We start from the raw sequence: 18,246 nt of genomic DNA on the forward strand, positions 1-18,246 counted from the left end.
AAGGTTAACTAGTGATTGGTACTTGCAAACTACAATTGGCATGTTCTTAGTATTTCCCAATGACACTTTCAGAATTCTTTCCAAAACACTTCATTGTTATGCCTCACTGCAGTTTTTCCTGTTCTTGTTAATGCACTATAGCCAGGATTTCCCTGGCACCTGGGCTCTGGTCAGAGAAGTTTGATATTTCTTGTACTGTGTGTTATAAGCAGCATCCTTTAGGTGTGGGTGTCTCTCTAGATAGTAGAGGGAACCCACATCTTTTATCATAACTTTTATCCCTGCATGTTATATCTTAAATGTAAATCTAGGTACAAGTATCAGAGCCTTAATATTTTAATGAAAACAAATATTAGCTATCAATAATCAAGAGAATTCCAGAACACTAATAGTTATTACCAGAGTTATGCTGACAAGTTATTACCAGAGTCGTGCTGACAATCGATTATCTGAAAAGATAAAACCTTGATTTCTGGTGTTTGTCAATTTCTGTAGTGTAAAAACTTCCACCCCAGCTTGATTTCAAGCCATCTCTGCATTGATGTCACTGAACATGGAGTTGGGAAGACATACATACAATTGTCTTCAGTATAGCCCTGGATCACAATGTATGGCTATCACATAAAATAGGACATTGATACTTTCATTTCACATTTCGTGATAATCTTAAAACTTGATTTTCAAAGTTCAAAGAATAAATAGTCCAAAAGAGTATCTAGTAGGCAAACAATGACCACAATCTTGAGGTCTGTCTATAAATTATTTTTATGATAATTATTATTTTGAGACAGGGTCTCACTCTATTTCCAGGCTGGAGTGCAGTGATGTGATAATGGCTCACTGCAATCTTCATCTCCCAGGCTCAGGTGATCCTCCCACCTCAGCCTCTTGGGCAGCTGGACTACAGGTGTGCGCCACCATGCCCAGCCGATTTTTGTATTTTTTGTAGGGACAGGGTTTCACCATGTTGCCCAGGCTTGTCTCGAACTCTTGGCCGCAAGTGATCTGCTTACCTTCGCCACTGGGAGTGCTGGGATTACAGCCATGAGCCACCATATCCGGCCTGTATGTTATTTTATCTGCAATCTATGAAGATGAATGGCTCCTACTCCAGGGATGTTATTTTTTATTTTTTTTGAGACAAGAGTTTTGCTCTTGTAGCCCAGGCTGGAGTCCAATGGCGCGATCTCGGCTTACTGCAAACTCCACCTCCGGGTTCGAGTAAATTTCCTGCCTCAGCCTCCCAAGTAGCTGGGATTACAGGCACCCACCAACACACCTGGCTATTTGTGTGTGTGTGTGTGTGTGTGTGTGTGTGTGTGTGTGTGTTTAGTAGAGATGAGGTTTTACCACGTTGGCCAGGTTGGTCTCGAATTCCTGGCCTCAGGTGATCCACCTGCCTCGGCCTTCCAAAGTGCTGGGATTACAGGCGTGAGCCACCGTGCCCGGCCCAGGGATGTTAATTTGAAAAGGATACCTTTTATTTAGAAAATAGTAAGTGGTTTTCTTAATAAAGATATCACTGTGGGCACTTGTATATTTTCCATCTTTTCAATGTGCAATGGCCCTTTCCCATTGGAATTTTGGTTATCTTTGCTACCTCCAGCTGGTATTTGCCCTTCAAGAACTGTGGTGCCAACCAAGTATATCTCATTTGTATGCTTCATATCTTGAGTATCATATTCACTCTTTGTAATTTGGAATAATACTTTGGACCTCCATGGCAGCTTTAATTTATCAGTGTATTTTTTCCGTAGTTACGATGGAATGGTACATTTTACTTTTTTTCTTTTCATTTGAGAATGTGATGTTTTCCTGAACATTAAATTGATATTGTTGACAGTATTTTGTGTTATTTGGCAAAGCAATAGCCTGGGAGCATGACCCAGCCTCTCATTGACTCCTTTGAGTTTTATATTTCTAATAACAATTTGGAGAAAGAAATGTAAATTCTTTTCCATCTGCTTTCCTTTAGCACGTTATTGCTCTTTACTTGAAAAGGGTAGGTAACTGGTAGACATGCATTTTTATTGAACATATTTGTGAACTTATCTTTTATAATTTTATCTTGAAGATTTTAATAATTTGCTTCCACAGTTACCTTTCTCCCCCACCTCCTTTTTAACAGGTTTCCACAGTGACTGCCCTGGGGGGCTTAGTTGTTTTCCTGTGTTGCAGTGTTCCAAATCGAATTATGCTAAAAGTATAAATATGGAATTTGCCTTTAAGCAAAGGTAAACCAGCGCCCAAGTAGCAATGGTTTGTTTAAATTTCATTGTTGACAGATAACAAATATTTTCAATGATCCCAAATACCACACTTCATACAATACACATATTCTATGAAGAATCGGAACGTAACTCAACATTTTTCCAAATGGTGGTCTTCAAAATGTTCATCTAGGGACTTCAATAGCTATAGGAAGAAAAATTTGCTCCATGATCAAATATATTTGAGAAATGCAGCATACTCTTTTCTTTTGAAAAGGTACAACACTTGTTTACCCACTAAAGTCAGTAGTCCAGTAGTTTTTAAAAAACTGACAAATCCTCTCCTCTCTCTCTCTCTCACACACACACACAACTTAATTTGACCCAGTGTTTAGCAAATATTTAAGAAAATTTTTTTCCACACCATATCCATAAATACCATTTGAAAGAATGTTCTGTGTAATACCAGTTTGGGAAATTTGCTGTAAACTCATTGACTCGCGATGACCATATGTGGACTCTTGTAGGTTTCACTGTTGTATTCATGATGGGAATGTGCAGCATTTTAACACTATTTAAGCAACAGACTCTAAAACTCATTCTAAGAGTAAATAAAATTATTCTTGGATTCATCCATGTACATAAATATGCTTGTGTTTCCTGAAAGAAAAGTTGAGGGCCATTTTACTTCTGTTAACTTGTCACACATATGTCAGAGGAGAAAGTTTGGCATATAGATTTATCTTTTAATCAGTAAGAATTGTGGCACTATGTCAGGAAGTCTTATCCTTATTATCGCATATTGTTGGTTATCAATGAAGTTGTAAGTATTGCAACTCTATATGTTCAACTATGCAGTGTTTTAGAGAAGACTTGGTGGAGCAGCTATAGCTTGTGAATAAACTATTCAGAAGACTGGAAATGTCTTATTAAAGGGAAGAAATTCTTCGGGAGCTAAAACATCTTTCGTGATCCTTATCTGATAAAAAATAAATCAAAGATTACAGCTTGTGTAATATGGAGAAAGCCAGAAATATCACTTAAACTAATTTAATCATTTTAATGCCAAAGCAAAAGGTAGTCTTTCAAAGAAATTTTGATAATAACAGAAAAGTAGACAAAAAATAAATCCACCCACAGTTATATCACCTAAATATAAACATTGCTAATACTTTAGGGGTACTTCCTTTCAGCCCTTTTTTGTACATTAGCTTTTTTTGTGTGTTTGTTTTGCTTTGCTTTGTTTTTAAACAGAGTACAGAGACATATTTACTGTGAAAGTCATAGATCTGCAACTTCAGTGCCCCTCACTTGTAAAAAACCCTCTTAAGGCTTGGGAGAGACACTAGCAATGTGTTATCATGGTCACATGTTTTTGTAAACTTTGCAGAAGTAAGGTCAATTAACTGAAATTGTTAAGACTGCTGTCTTTCTCCACTCAGACTTTCATCCGTTATGCTTCTTCTCACATCAGGTGGTAATGAAGTGGCAGCAGGCATTTGAGGGGGGATCTGGCTAAGAGAAGATGAGTTGTGGATGCATTTCGGTAGGTTTTGTTTCAGTGGTTCACAGTCGCTTCTGTGGAAATGATGTCCAAGAAGACTTCTTTCTGCTGACCTGGCTAGTGTTCTGACTTGATGTTGTGGGGCCAGAAGTTGTGTTGCAGTATGCACACGTCCTTTGATGCCTGGCACAGAAAATTGTGAGTAGCAAACAAGATCTGATGTTTTTGGAACCAAAAGTTAATATGGGGAAAAGTCTTCCGGTCAGCCAACATGAACAATTGTTAAGTGCATGATTCAATTCTTATTGATGCCTAGTCAAATCGTCAGAGAACTGCAGAGAATTGCAATTCACCAGAATTATAATGACACTGAATATGTAATTCAAAATTCTGTCATTTTCACTTAAAAATTATATCACTAGAATTTTCCATGTTAAAGTGGCCTTTATAAATCTTTTATATGCTGCCATAATATTCAATTTAGCTTAAGTCAGCTCAGAGTTTTTTGTTGATATCCTATCTGTGTGATGAACTGTACTCACAACATAATTCTGTTCTGGACCAACTCTAACACAACTTTTCCTCTCTCGGTGCACTTTCTCTGGCTTTGCTTCTATCTCTCAAGTTCAGTGATTCCCTTTTCCTAGAATACCTTTCCTTTCTGTTTCTGCCTGGTAAATTACTCTCTGTCTTTTAAGATCTAGCTCATATCTCATCCTTTTGATCCATAAGGCTTCCTTGACTCCATGAATAATTAGTGTTCCCATAACACGCATCTGTGATTGCCCTCGTAGTGCATGATGGTTTTAATTTATCCATGAGCCTGACTCTTGAGTTTATGAGTACATAAGTGAAAAAAAAAATCTTCTATTATGCTTCACTCCACTGAAAATGTTGCCTTCCACACTGCCTGAAATATAGGGTTATAATAAAATTTTATTTAAACAAAGAAGAGGGAAAGCACCACATAAATATTACAGTTGTGTCCAAGAATATATTAAACAGCAACCATCTTCTAATAATAGGAACTTTTTTTTTTTTTTTTTTTTAGACAGAGTCTTGCTTTGTCACCTAGGCTGGAGTGCAGTGGCATGATCTTGGCTCGTTGCAACCTCTGCCTCCCAGGTTCAAGAGATTCTCATGCCTCAGCCTCCCAAGTAGCTGGGATTACAGGTGTGTGACACCACACCTGGCTAACTTGTATTTTTGGTAGAGACAGGGTTTTGCCATGTTGGCCAGGCTGGTCTCGAACTCCTGGTCTCAAGCAAGGAGGCCCGCCTCGGCCTCCCAAAATGCTTGAATTACAGGCATGAGTGACTGCACCTAGCCTAATAATAGGAACATTTTAAAGATCTTACATTGTTCTTATTTGGATAAAGATTAATTGTAAACCCTATTTTACTCTACAATTATTTCCAAGTTTCTTAGAAGAAATATAAAAGAGAAAAATATATGTTTCAAAATAACAAAAATTAGTATATTAATTTTGTTAGGTTTGGCTGCAAATTTCTCTTTGTCTAAACCAAATAATGATGGCTTAGACAAGATATGTTTACTTTTTGCTAAGTTCTGGTTGGCATCAGAGACCCAGGCTCTTTCTATTTTATTGTTTTATGCTTATATGCTTATGTGGCTTTTATTCCCGAGGTCACCTTATGGTCTAAGATGGCTTTTTTTTTTTTGCTTTTTCCAGCAATCATGTCCCAGGTAGTAGGAAGGAGAAAAAGGGAGGAAAAGCTACGCTGTTCCTGTAACTGCACTTTTCAGACTTAGTTCACATTTATTTATTTATTCCAGTTGCACTTCACTGACCAGTATTTAAATATGTGGCCATGTCCAGCTGCAATAAAAACTGGAAACAATAGTCTTTGTTCTAGACAACTGGGTACAATTTGGGGGTTCTTTTCCTGAGGAGGAAGGGAAAAGTGAATACTGGAGGACAAATAGGCTCTTTGCATTTATGATTGGGAATTTTACTGATATATCTTCAAGCTTACTGATTCTTTTCTTGGGCTGTGTCCTGTCTATTGATAAGCCCATCACTTCATTTCTGCTGTAGTATTTTTTATTTTTAGCATTTTTAAATTCTTTCTTAGAGTTTTCATCTTGCTTATACTATTCATCTGTTCTTGCATGTTGTCCACTTTTTCCTTTAGAGCCTTTAAAATATTAATGATAGTTTTTAAAAAAAATTCCTGGTTTGGATAATTCTAAAATATCTGCCTATCTGAATCTGATGTGATGCTTGCTTTGTTTCCTTAGACTGTGTTTTTCTTGCCTTTTTGTATGCCTTGTAATTTTCGTTTGAAAACTTGAAATCATATATTGAGTAATAACAACTGAGTTAAGTAAACCTTTCATGTGAAATTTTATATTAACCTGGCTAGAAGTTGTGTTGCATTTAATATTGCTGTAGCTGTAGGTTTCAGAGGTTTCATTTTCTTCTAATGTCCTCATTTTGGCTCCTCTCTTGTGTTTGAGATTCCCTGAAAACTCCCTAAATAGGGTTGTGTCTTGTAGCTCTTTTAGCTGTAACCCATTTTTATTATACTGGAGTCCTGTTGATATAGTGGTAAGGTGAGGGGTGAAAGGTAATGTTCTATAATCCTATCACTAAGCATCACTCTTTTATTGGGCCTGTGTCCCTGGACTGTGAACTTCACAAATGTTTCTCAACATTTTTTACCCTTAGGTGAGACAAAGAGACTAGAAGGGGTAGAGTCAGCTAACTTCTCTCCTCCCACCACTGATGAGGTTTTGGTGAATTCTCTTCCCTTGCTCAGTAAGTCATTATTATGGGGAATGCTTCGGGTTTATTCAAAATGTTTTACTTTTCCTTTCTCCCTGACAGAAACAAAGGCTTTACTTGACTCTTTACTATGAAAGCCTGGTTGGGTTCCTGAAAGTAATACTCATAGAAGTGTAGGGTCCCCTATGACTGCAGCCCTCAGGAGTTTCTCATTCTTAACAGTAATGTAAATGCTGCCCCCCATAATTTGTCAAAGTTCCTATTTAAATGTTCCCACCAATTTATGGCTCCAACTGCTGTTGCTTCAGGTAAGTTGATCTTGATTGTGATTCTCTCTGTTCACCTGTGTCTTCTGATTTCATGTGGTGGTTTTTCATGTGACCTCAGTTCTATAGTGGGTCCAAGAACAGTTGTTAATATTCAGTTTGCTGAGCTTTTTCTTGTTGTAGAGGTGGGAGTGATGACTTCTGAACTGCTTTTTTTTTTTGAGACTGAAGTGTCTTGCTCTGTCACCCAGGCTGGAGTGTAGTAGCATGATCTCGGAGAATAGGGTGAAGTAGTTCTCCATTTAATTTTTTTATATAGATAATTGTCCCAACACCATTTATTAAATATTCCTTCTTTTTCCATTGATATTTCTTATATGCTTACCACTTTCTATATAGTTGGTTTGTTTCTGGTCTCTTTATTCTGCTTTATTAACTATTTATCTACATCTGGCCAGTAACACACTTTTAAAAATTATTGTATCTATTAAGGTCAACCCTCTCACCTAATTCTTCTTTAACACTATTAAAGAAGAATTCTTGGCCTTTTGCAATAAGGATTAATTTATGTCTATTTGTCTTCCTTGCGTTTAAGAGGAGTTGTCAGTCTTTTGCAATAATGCTTTTCTTTAATTTTGGAAATTTTTCTATCATTATTTCTTTGAATATTTCCTCATAAACTTTTTTTCTCAACCTTTCTCCCTGTTTGCTAATTAGGTTATTATTTCCACATTGTCATTATTGTTGATATTTATATTGTGTAATGTAACAATAATTTTCACATGTATTTACACTTTTACATTTATGTTGATTTAGTAGTCACTGCCATACTTTATAATGATGTTCTTTATTATTTTCTTGGATGGCTGCAATTTGTACCATAATACTTCTTCCTAGAAAGGTTTATGAAACTGTCTTGTATCAAATTGTTTTCCTGGGACTTGAAAATTAATCATCATTTAAATTAATCAACAATTAAATTTATTTCTTTAAATTAATCATTAATTAATTAGTTACTTAAACTGCTGTTATGGGAGACTTCTATTTTATCTTTGAATTTTTCTGTTTGACTTTTTTTTAATCTTCTTCAGAATACAGTGAGTGCTCTTCTTTAACTGTCTTCCATAATTAACATTTAGTCTTTGTTAATTAACAAAACTAGTTCTTTTTCTTTCAATATGCTCAATTTTCTTAAGCTTTCTTCTACATGCTCTTGACATTTTAGTAATTTCTATGTCTAATGTGACTTTCATGTTTTTATGCTTTGATTTTCTCTATCACTTCATGTCCTTTATAAAAAAAAAAGTCAATTCCCCTTGAACCTTTATGTTTTTTCTTTCTGCTCTCCTTTTTTTCTCCCCAGTGAGGCCATGCTTCATTTAATTTCTTTGATTTTCATTAAGATGTTTGATTATAATCTGAAACTGATTTTACCATAATTTTCTGATGTATATTCTTTATTGACCTTGTTTCATTATGTTACTTTTCTCTCTGTTCCTTTAAGTATGTTTACATAAATTCCATGATTTTGCCCCTCATTGAATGCTGGAAGTTTTCCTGCACCAACTGTTTGTAGAAAAAAAGTGTAGGGAGAAGCTGAGATAAGCTGGGATATTAGGAGAATTTGCTAAATGGCCTCTGAATACCTTGTCACAGCACCCTGCTGGGTTGGTACCATTCTGTTCCCTAATAAGGAAAAATAATTCTGGCTCTTTGGTCACAGACATTGGTTGACAATTTACATTTTATTTACCTTCACTTATCCAAGGTCACAGCTCTGCATGTCATCCAGGTTTATTGTAAATCCAGCCTCAGTCACACCCTATTTCTTGCAAAATTAGCTGCTCTCCCTGTCTGTGGGAAGCTCCCTCTACTTGCCCACACATCCTGACCTTTCTCTGCCAATTAAGGCATTTTAGTTTACCCCTCCAGTGGGCCATCTAGTCTGGAGAAGTTCATGTTAGCTCAAGGTTTGCAGAGCTCAAGTTTCTCTTTCTGAATCCTCCCTTCCCTGTGCACTATTTCCAGTGCAGTCAGCAGCCCTTCTTTATAGACTGTGTTTTCCTTGTTACTTTAAAGGAGAAGAGGGAATAGATGTGTGTTATCGGTACTATCTTAAATAAGGAATTAGCATGATACATTGTTGATAAAAATAGTCAAGTTTGCCAACCATCAGTCAACATTATTACATAGGTTAACTGATGACAGTACTTAAATAACCAGATGTACTCTTTTTTTTTTTCCTTACCACTTTAAAGTTTGGATTTTTTTTTCTCTCTAATTAAATCCAACAGGTCAAAACCTAATGTTAGAATTGATCAGCAAAGCTAATGCTTTATGGTGTGTCTAACGCCTACATCCAAAGAGCCTGCATCTTAACAATTCCCTTGCTTTTTTCAGGAAAATTGTTGTTTTTATTCCAAATACTAAATGTAAATATTAAAATTTTTTTATTGGATTTACCTACACAGAAATAAATTGTTAGACTAAGACCTGAGTTCTGTCTAAATAATAAAAACTCATTGATATGGGGCTTTGATGCTACCTATAGGTCTATTTAAAACATTGACCTGAAAATAAATGACTCTAAATGTTTTTCTTCACCAATCATCGGAACCAGCCAGGCTCTAGAGAATTAAATAATCTAAAAGTGGTACATTTTATAACAGCTGGTGGGATTTTTATTGACACCTTCACATGATCAATTCATGGTTGTCACCTTGCTTAAGTTGATCAACCTAATGTGTACGTGCAATGTTATAATTACCTTTCCTTTTGACAAGGATGCGTTAAGTGTGGCTGTAATATGGGAACTCCTTTCAGCTTTCATTAACTCAATATAAATCCAAAGCTTGCAGATTCAGCAGAGTTGTCTATAGTGGCTTAATTGGAATTGCTGGACAAGAACATTGATTCTGCTTCACTCAGGTAAAGATGAAAGTAACTGCAACAATGGATATTGCATTTGAAGGTCATTGAGTTGTAGTCAGGCAAGGGGAGCAGATATTAAAACATACACGCACAAAATAATGGGATTTTTATTTAGCATCTCGCAAGTCTTGAGTAACATAGTATTAATTGACCTTGAGATTTCATTCTTTTGTGACTCATTGCATTTGCTTTTGTGTTTCAGATTAATATAGAATATTTTAAAGAAAGAGTAATACAGCCAATTTTAATCTCTGGGAAGTTTATGCAAGACATAATTTATTTGTAAACTTTATAATAATATGTGAATTAAAGACCCTTGTTAGTTTGGTATGAATCTGACATAAGGGCTAAAATCACTTTTTCATTAGCCTTCTCCTGATCTCAGGTTTACACCTAAGAGATTCTTCACTCCAAAGTCTTCATTTCCAAGCACAACCTGCTGGGTGCTGCGCTTTTCTGAGGTCTCCTCCCCAGCTCTGCATCTAGCAGTGCTCATGATGCAATGATTTCCTGTCTGACTATCCCATTCCTATCCTTTGCAAAGTTCACATAGACCCATTTGAGTACACTTTTAGTAGCATACCAAGTTTAAGTGCCAAAGTTGTGTTTTAGTTCTTTCATCCAGAAAGAAAACATCAGCTGTTTCAAATTTTAGAGTCCAGCTTGGGCAACAAGAGAATTGTCATGTCGTCGATTGTGTAGTAAGACACAGTGAGTGTCCAGCAATGTAAAATCAGTCTATAAATGAGAAGATTAAGACCAAAAGCATCGGGTTACAAACATCTCACTAAAGCCCATTAGCAGGCAGAGAGCTCTCCGCGGAGCTAGAAAATGAGACTTTTCCCTCCTTTCTGCCCCATACATTAGTGCTGATCTCAGGAGCTCATTTTTGCACCCTTTGTGGCAGACAACCATATAATCAAAGGGTTCCCATCACTAAATCATTTGAAAAGACAAGTAGAAATTAGCTTTAGCTAATTTAACTAGCCTTTGCCCCTCCTCCTGACCCTGAGGGTGAAGCACATTTTATCATTCATCCTCTGGGGGCTGGCTTATGCTGGCTCCCTTTCCTTTGGCAGTGATTTTAAGCAACCAAGTTCTTATTACAATTCTCAAATTTAAAATTAAGTTCTGATCACATCTTCTCAGGGCATACCTAAGAGGCAGTGTTTATCCCCAGCCAAATCAATTGTTTCCTCAAGTGACTCATTCCTGAAAATGTTATTGTTTCTAATAACCAGCTCAAATATGTATTTTCATTAATCTTTTCTTTTACCTCCATTTCACACGTGTTGCTGCATGTCAGGCAGTTTCCACAAGGATCTGCCATGACATCATTGTGTGAGGTATGAAAAAAAAATTTTTTTTTTTCTAATTTAAGAATTACTTTTACTCAGATGGTGGCTGGGCTGGGAAATGTTCCCCATTGCCCTGGGAGTTTTAGGCCAAGGCTTGTGTGTGTGTGTGTGTGTGTGTGTGTGTTGGAAGGGTCTCTCATTGCCTATTTCTGCTTATATAACACACACTGGTTTAGGTAGGTGGAGTCAGAATGGGAAGAGGAAGTTCCCTAAGTGTTTCTTGCATGCAAAGGTAAGTGGAGAATGCCCATCTGGGCACACAGGGCAAGGATGCAGTGGAGTGACCTCTCCTTTCCCCTCCAACTCACATGCTGGAGTTTAAAAACTGTATCAGGATGACAGAAACCAAGGGGTAAGACCACGGCTTCCTCTGGGGATCTTCTATAAACTGTAAGAACAAACACAGGTATTTTGTAGTTCTTTATCACAACGGGTCCTTTGCTGATGATTCTAGGTTTTATGACTGCTGTTTTATGTCCTACAAATAGTAACAGGCATTTCCCTTTGCCCTACACCACAGTAAGCCACTGGCCTAGACAAGAAGCAACTCTGCACTGCTTTTCAAACATCATCCTCCCTCTCGACCGCAGGGACTATTTGGTTTCTATTCTACTTCTGGCCTTTCATATTCCTGATGGTGCATTGGATGAAACCCCGCAGCCAGGCGTGTGAACGTGGTTGAAAAGACCCATGGAGGACCAGCAACGCTTCCCCACAGCGTGGGATGGTCCCCTCCTGAGATGGCCCACTGTCAGCGGGACTGGTACATGAGTTGTTTTCCCAGCTGAGAGGATGGGTCATAAGACCCACTTATACTTTTTGTCCTGGTCTCTTTTTAACTAACTACACAATTGTACAATCCCTGGCCAGGGTCCATGACTGAGGACAGAGTTTTCCTGTGTAGATTTTTTTCTGCAGCAAACATTTGCACTGAGCTGTAGGAATAGACTGGGCATGGCCACCATTTTTCCAATTCCAGTGGGATTATCCGGGCAAAAACTTCAGAAAACTTGTGGGATTCTAGAGTAGGCCGAACAGGCTCATGACACATTCCCTGTCCTTACCAGACGCCAAGCACTGCATCCTGTCTGCTTCTTGAACAGCCCCTTCATTGTTTGTTCAGCTATTCTGCTGCATCTGCAGATAGCCCTGCCTGAGAAACAGCCTCAAACCAGAAGGAGAGGATGGCGGCAAGCCTTAGAGAAACATGTAAGTCAAGGGTGGTGGTGGATGACTGTGAGGCATTTTCTTTTGCAAAAAATACCCAAACCAAAACAAGCAAAAAAACTACCAAATAACAATGGTGGGTATTCATTACTAGGTTAAAAAATGGACTGATTGCAAGTTCAAAGCACTGTAAACAATCCCCATGTTTCTGTCTCTTTGGCTGTAGTCAATATAGTTTGAAATGAGTCTGCTAAGACAAATGCTGATTTGGTGAATAAAAAAGATAATCTGAGTTTTAGAAGTGGGGATATTCAGCCACATAAGACACCGAAAATAAGGAAGATTGAACTTGACATGTATCATCATCATGGTCAAGACCAGGGAGATGCTATCTCAAGGTCTTTCAAGCTCTTTAATCTATGCAAAAATGTGTATGATTTTTAGGGGAAGATGTTGGTCAAAGGATACAATATTTCAGTTAGACAGGAGGGATAAATTCAAGAGATCTATTGTGCAATATGGTGACTATAGTTAATAACAATACATTGTATTTTTGAAAAAAACGCTGAGTAGATTTTAAATGTTCTCACCACAAAAATGATAACTTCGTGAGGTAATGCATGTGTTAATTAGCTAGATTTAGCCATTTCTTCACTCCGCAAAGTGAAGGGCATCATTGCAGTTTGGGAGCCAGGACGTTGAGAGGCTAGTAAAGGGCAGAACTTGGATTTGGATCAGGAGCCACCTTCTATCAGCCTTGCTTGGGCTACTGTCCTGCCTTGAGTGGCTGCAGGTGGGAGCCTGGACCTCATGGATGAGGCATTTGAATCCAAGCAGAACTTGGTGGAAAAGTAGAAGGAAAGAAGCGAACCTTCCATGGCCTTAAACTTAAGATAGTATGTGGGCAGGAATTCTATCTACTCTCTCCCACTTTTTTAATAATTGGAGGAGAGAGAATAGAGAAGCCGTAACTAGGTGCCCATGTGGTAAAACAGCATGTTGAAATGGACATCTTGGCTAAGGCCCTAGGATGACAGATGTAAGAGACCAAATAATGTGCCAGATGGGGAGGCAGATGTTGAAAGCAGGTAGCTGAGCACCAGTTAAAAGCCCACCTTCCACCCCCACATTGAGCAGTGAAGAAGGAAGGAATTAGGAAAGATTTCTTTGGCAAGAATCATTGGTATACTATGAATCCTAGTGCTACCCCCCAACAGAAAGGGGAGATACAGGCACAACAAGTCCAGTCAGTGAGCTTGATGTAGAGCCCCCACAGCTGGCTAGACAAATGCCTGATTTGAACCTGAAGAAAACAAAGCTTGCTGCCTGCCCTGGTGGTGGGAGTGACAGAGGGGCTGCTGGTGCCCTGGGCATGTCCTCCTAGAATTTGTGGTGGTGAAGGGTACATGAGTGTCCTCAGGACCAGGTGTAGCCACACCAGAGACAGGGCTGGCATTTTAGACCTTGTCCAAGAGGGCCATTAAAAAAGGAAACAGACTAATTGTTGATTTAGGTGGTAGTCACAGAGGCTTACTCACTTGAGACATTTCTAGTAGCATGCTTATGATTTCTGCATTTATTAAGTTTGTTATATTTCAGCAAAATTTGCTATTAAGAAAATAGTGAAGAAGTCTCATCAGAGAGAAGTTAAAAGCATACTAGTGGATTCCTTGGGGCTGCAGAAAGAGTAGCAAAAAGTTGGAGAAAACATCAACTACACCAAAGGAATTTTAGGAGCTTGGTCCCCAGCAAAGCTCATGGAATCTCTCTCTGCAAGGAAGAGTCAGTTTTAAAAGCCCTCAGCCTGCTCTCAATGGGTCCTGCCTCCTTCCCTGCCTGCACCCCAACACTGGGGAAAGGAGAAACCTCCGTTAGCAAGTTGGAGAAAAGGAGTTGAGGAAGGAAGAGGATAGCCCGGCCCCCTCCCTGACTGCAGGTTTTTCTTTTTCTTTTTAACAGTGGATTCTAGCGAGGGGAGGGCAAATCCCTGAAACCTTGAATGAAGTTGGAAGCCTTTACTAGTTTGTGTGTTTGGAATTCTAAGTAGAAATTGAGACTGTGTTTTGTGACTCAAATGACTAAGATTTTCTGTTACCTACGAGTGGCCAAAATGTCAAGTATTCATCCGGGGGCAGGGTGAAAACTAGACCTACTGAGAAAGTTAAAAGACAAGGGGAAAACACAATAAACCTGCTGTATTTTTACCTCCAAAGTGTCCATTCAATTTACTGGCTGTAGTAGTTTGAAAGCAAGGTTCTGTGATATCATTCCAGAGTTGAGAGTAACAAAAGCTGATAATTGTAAATGCAGCACTATCCAATGGAAATATAATGCAAATTATATGCGTGACTTAACATTTTTTTCTGGTAGATTCATTTAAAAAGTAAAATAAACAGATAAAATTAATTTTAATAATCTATTTTATTTAACCTAATAATATATTTTCATTTCACACTGTAATCAATATAAATGTTTTTAATGAAATATATTACATTCACTTTTTATTTTTGTGCTTACCTTTTTGAAATCTGGGGAAAATTTTATACTTTCAGCACATCTCAGTTTGGACTAGCCACACATAAGGAACTCAGCAGCCTCTTGTGGCTGGTGGCTGCCATATTGGACAGTGCACTTAGAGGGTTTGGATGGGGTGGAAAATTATCTCAGATTACTATAGGATTTCATGCTTGACAAACGTTGAGGCAGTATCTCCAAAGTGAGCAAGAGGATGAGCTAAGATTCAGTCTTCACTTGTATTGGGTCTGATGAGTATACATCCAGATGGCTATTGGGCAGAAAAATAATGGGTGATGGAGGAGAGCTGAGAAGAGTCTTCATGAACTGTGATGCCACCTTACACATTGCCACTGGAAACTGACCCTAAGCTAAACAGGAAGAGAAGAAATTGAAAGAAGACCTGACCCAAGGGAGTAAAAATAAATTCAGGGCACTTTTCTGCAGAAATAACTGCTGAGTTTAAGCATACATTAAAATGGACACAATATGTCCTCAAGGAGTTGTTACGGTCTGCACAAACCAGCATGCTTGTCTGAAATAAGTGTCCTGTAATGGGCTTAGCATTATAAACAGGGTAAGTCCTACTATTGTTCTGGTTTTGCTGATGAGGAAATTGAGACTGAGATAATATGAACCAAACAACCAACTTCTTGTTGATTAAAACATTATCCCTAAGGAAACCCTGAGAATCACTGGGTACAAGAGTCCCCCTGCGCAGACGAGGAATCTGGGCTGCAGAGAGGAGAAGCAGTTGCCCAAAGGTTATACATAATCAGAGAGAGCTTCCTATGTTGTGTGTTAAGATTTCAGGGGCACCAAGATAGATTATTTGTCTCTTTAAAAAACTTACTAGAAAACAGAAGAGCATGTTTTGTGTGTCAGTAACCTCCCTATAACTGGACCTTGACTACGGAGATTGGACAGTGCATCCAGATTACTACAAAGAAGTTCACAGAATTGGGTTCAGGTTGAGCTAGAAGATTTCTGAGCTTTTTTTGTTTTTTCTTTTTTCCAACATAAAGATTGATGGTTTGATGGTATGAAGTTTTTAGCATTATGTGATCTCCGACTCGTACTATAGATCTAACTACAGGTGATGGTGAGAGTTGTGAGAATTTTATATAGGCAAGGAAAATCGAGGCAGAGGCCAGAAGAATGGAGGCCTCAGCCTGACCCTCAGCAAGCTCTGAGGGTAATTTGGGCTTTAATTGGGTTCTTAATCCCTGATTTCCATGTACAAGGAAAATTCCAATGACAAGGAAAACTCCAATATGTGGGATCATCCTAAGCCCATCCCAAAGGCTTCACGATTCATCATGGCTAAATGGAGTTTGTACACTTTAAAATAAATGAAAATACTTCATTACATCTGAGCAAGTGGTATTTGAGTCAGGTATATGAGGGAGTAAAGAGATCATTTTTCATTTGTTTTTCTTTTTGCCTTTTTTTCTGAATCTGATTTTTATAAAATGGCTTTGAAGATAAGTGATTTCTAAGGACTATTGCCCTCATGTGGGCTACGCAAATGCATTAATAATTTGATCCTCAGTTTCCTCTCTATAAAATCGTAGAATACGATGAGATGAGCTTGAAATCACTTCTTGATTTAGTACAGTATGAACTTTCTATGCACATATGAATGCAAAGAATGGAAACATCTTACAAAATACAAAAATAAAGATTAATTTTTTTCAGAAAAAAATAATTTGCTAGAGAACAAAAGTGACAATGAGGCTCTTTGGTTTACCTTTTGTTCTGTTTTGCTTTGTTTTAAGATGTCAAGCCTTTTTTTGTATGGAGAGTGAAAAGTCTTGTTGGGATGGTGATGTGGCTGTGACTGATACTGCCGTGATCTCGCACACATGAGCCAAAGCCTTGGGATGGTTTTGATGAGAAAATTGGGTGAAGGTTGGGGAGCGAGACCCGAGGTGCAGGAACACAGGTGTGCTGTGGCCAGAAGTGTGGCATGAGGAAAGAAGGGAAGGTGGAGGAATTGGAGGGTGAGAACACTGGTCATTTGCCAAGGGCATTGAGAAATTGGTACATATTTATTTGGGTTGATGGGTGGGGAGTTTTAAGAGAGAAATGCAGGGGTGTGAGAGGTGCTTTGTAAGGTGAGGAGTTAGACTAAGAGGAGTTAGTCAAAATGGAACCAAACAACAACAACAGGAAAATAATTGGCTTAAAATAGAGGTCCAATAATTCTCAAATGTTGTTTAAAATTGCAGTTCTGTAGGAATTTTGGATACAAAAAATTCAGAAAGGTTGCATACCAGAGCTGTCCAATAAGGATATAGTATGAGCCACATATATAACTTAAAATTTTCTAGAAGCCACTATTAAAAAGTAAAAAAAAAAAAAAAAGTTGGAATTAATATTAATAGTATATTTAATTGAAAATAATATATAAATACTATTATCTAAATACATCATCTACATATAAGTATTAATGAGATATTTTGTTCCTTTTCTTATACTAAAATATGTCTTCAAAATCTGTTGTGCACTTTGTACTTACAGCTCATCTTAATTTGTACTGGACACATTTCAAGTTCTCAATAGCTACGTGTGGTTGGTGGCTGTTATATTGAACAGCGTAATTCTAGACAGCTTCCTCTGCGTCATCACATTTTTGTCCTTTATTTAATAAACTTTAAAACAAAATATGATTACTTCTATGTAAAATTTCAAAATGGGCAATGCTAAACAGTTGCTTGCTTAGGGATGTATAAGTAGGTGGTAGAATTAGAACAAAATGCAAGGAAACGATGATCACAAAGATAAGGAGAGTGTTTCCTTTATTCCACGGAAATAAAGAAGAAGAAAATTAAAATCTTCCCCAAATCTCATCAAGTAGAGACAACAACTGCTAATTTCCACTTGCACCTTTTTAGGAAGGGAAGAGCCTGGAAGGGAATGATGATTAGGTTGCATAGAGGGTGACAGTGTGGTGCCTGCTGTGCTGTGGGCCCTGGGCATTGGCCATTGAATGGAATTTTTCAAAGTCAGACTTGCAGTATATCAAGGTCTCAGACAAAAGAAAGTGGGAGCATTTGAAATAGGAGAGAAAGGCAGACAATAACAGACCCTTGGCCAAATCTGATGATGAGCATTCCCATGGGGCAACACCCTAAAAGAAAAGAAAACGATTTAAGACATTGACTTTTTTTCCTCTTTCAGACATGAACTTAACCAATTTCCTGGAATTTTCAAAAGAATTTACTAGAAAAGGCAACAAAACAAGCCAATAACCTCACAAACCATTAGGTACTCAGGGTTTCTGGAAGGACAGCTCTAAATGCACAGTCTATATCCAATTTGCACTGTCATCTTGGAATGGGAAGAACATTGGAATGACAAGTTAGATTGAAAAGCTGTTAAAAGCCAGAAAAATAATGAGTGTCTAATCCATAAATGGAAAACTGTCAGTCCCTTATGTCTTTCTAAGACTTGGCTTCATGGTAATTCAAGCACAACTCCTGAGTTTTCAACCAGCCCTTAATTGCAAAGGAAATAAACCATTCAGAGAAGAGGAACAATGGAC

At 37.9% G+C, this 18,246-nt stretch overlaps 1 long non-coding RNA gene across 12 annotated transcripts in view; it reads left to right on the plus strand.

Annotated features, from left to right (window-relative positions):
* LOC102724036 (uncharacterized) overlaps positions 1-18,246 on the plus strand; it is a 247,231-nt gene that overhangs the window by 136,027 nt on the left and 92,958 nt on the right. For 6 of the 12 annotated variants that reach the window (XR_007061623.1, XR_007061626.1, XR_007061624.1 and 3 more), the window contains 2 exons: positions 6,407-11,781; positions 12,086-12,227. The exons of 1 other annotated variant lie outside the window; for it this stretch is intronic. This is a non-coding gene — a long non-coding RNA (uncharacterized LOC102724036). Of the gene's footprint in view, positions 1-6,406; positions 12,228-13,784; positions 14,398-18,246 lie in introns of those variants that run through there. 5 more of the 12 variants (XR_930038.2, XR_930042.2, XR_930035.2 and 2 more) reach the window with 4 other exon arrangements.

Source organism: Homo sapiens, chromosome 9 (assembly GCF_000001405.40).
Source record: "Homo sapiens chromosome 9, GRCh38.p14 Primary Assembly".
In the NCBI taxonomy this organism is placed as follows: domain Eukaryota; kingdom Metazoa; phylum Chordata; class Mammalia; order Primates; family Hominidae; genus Homo; species Homo sapiens.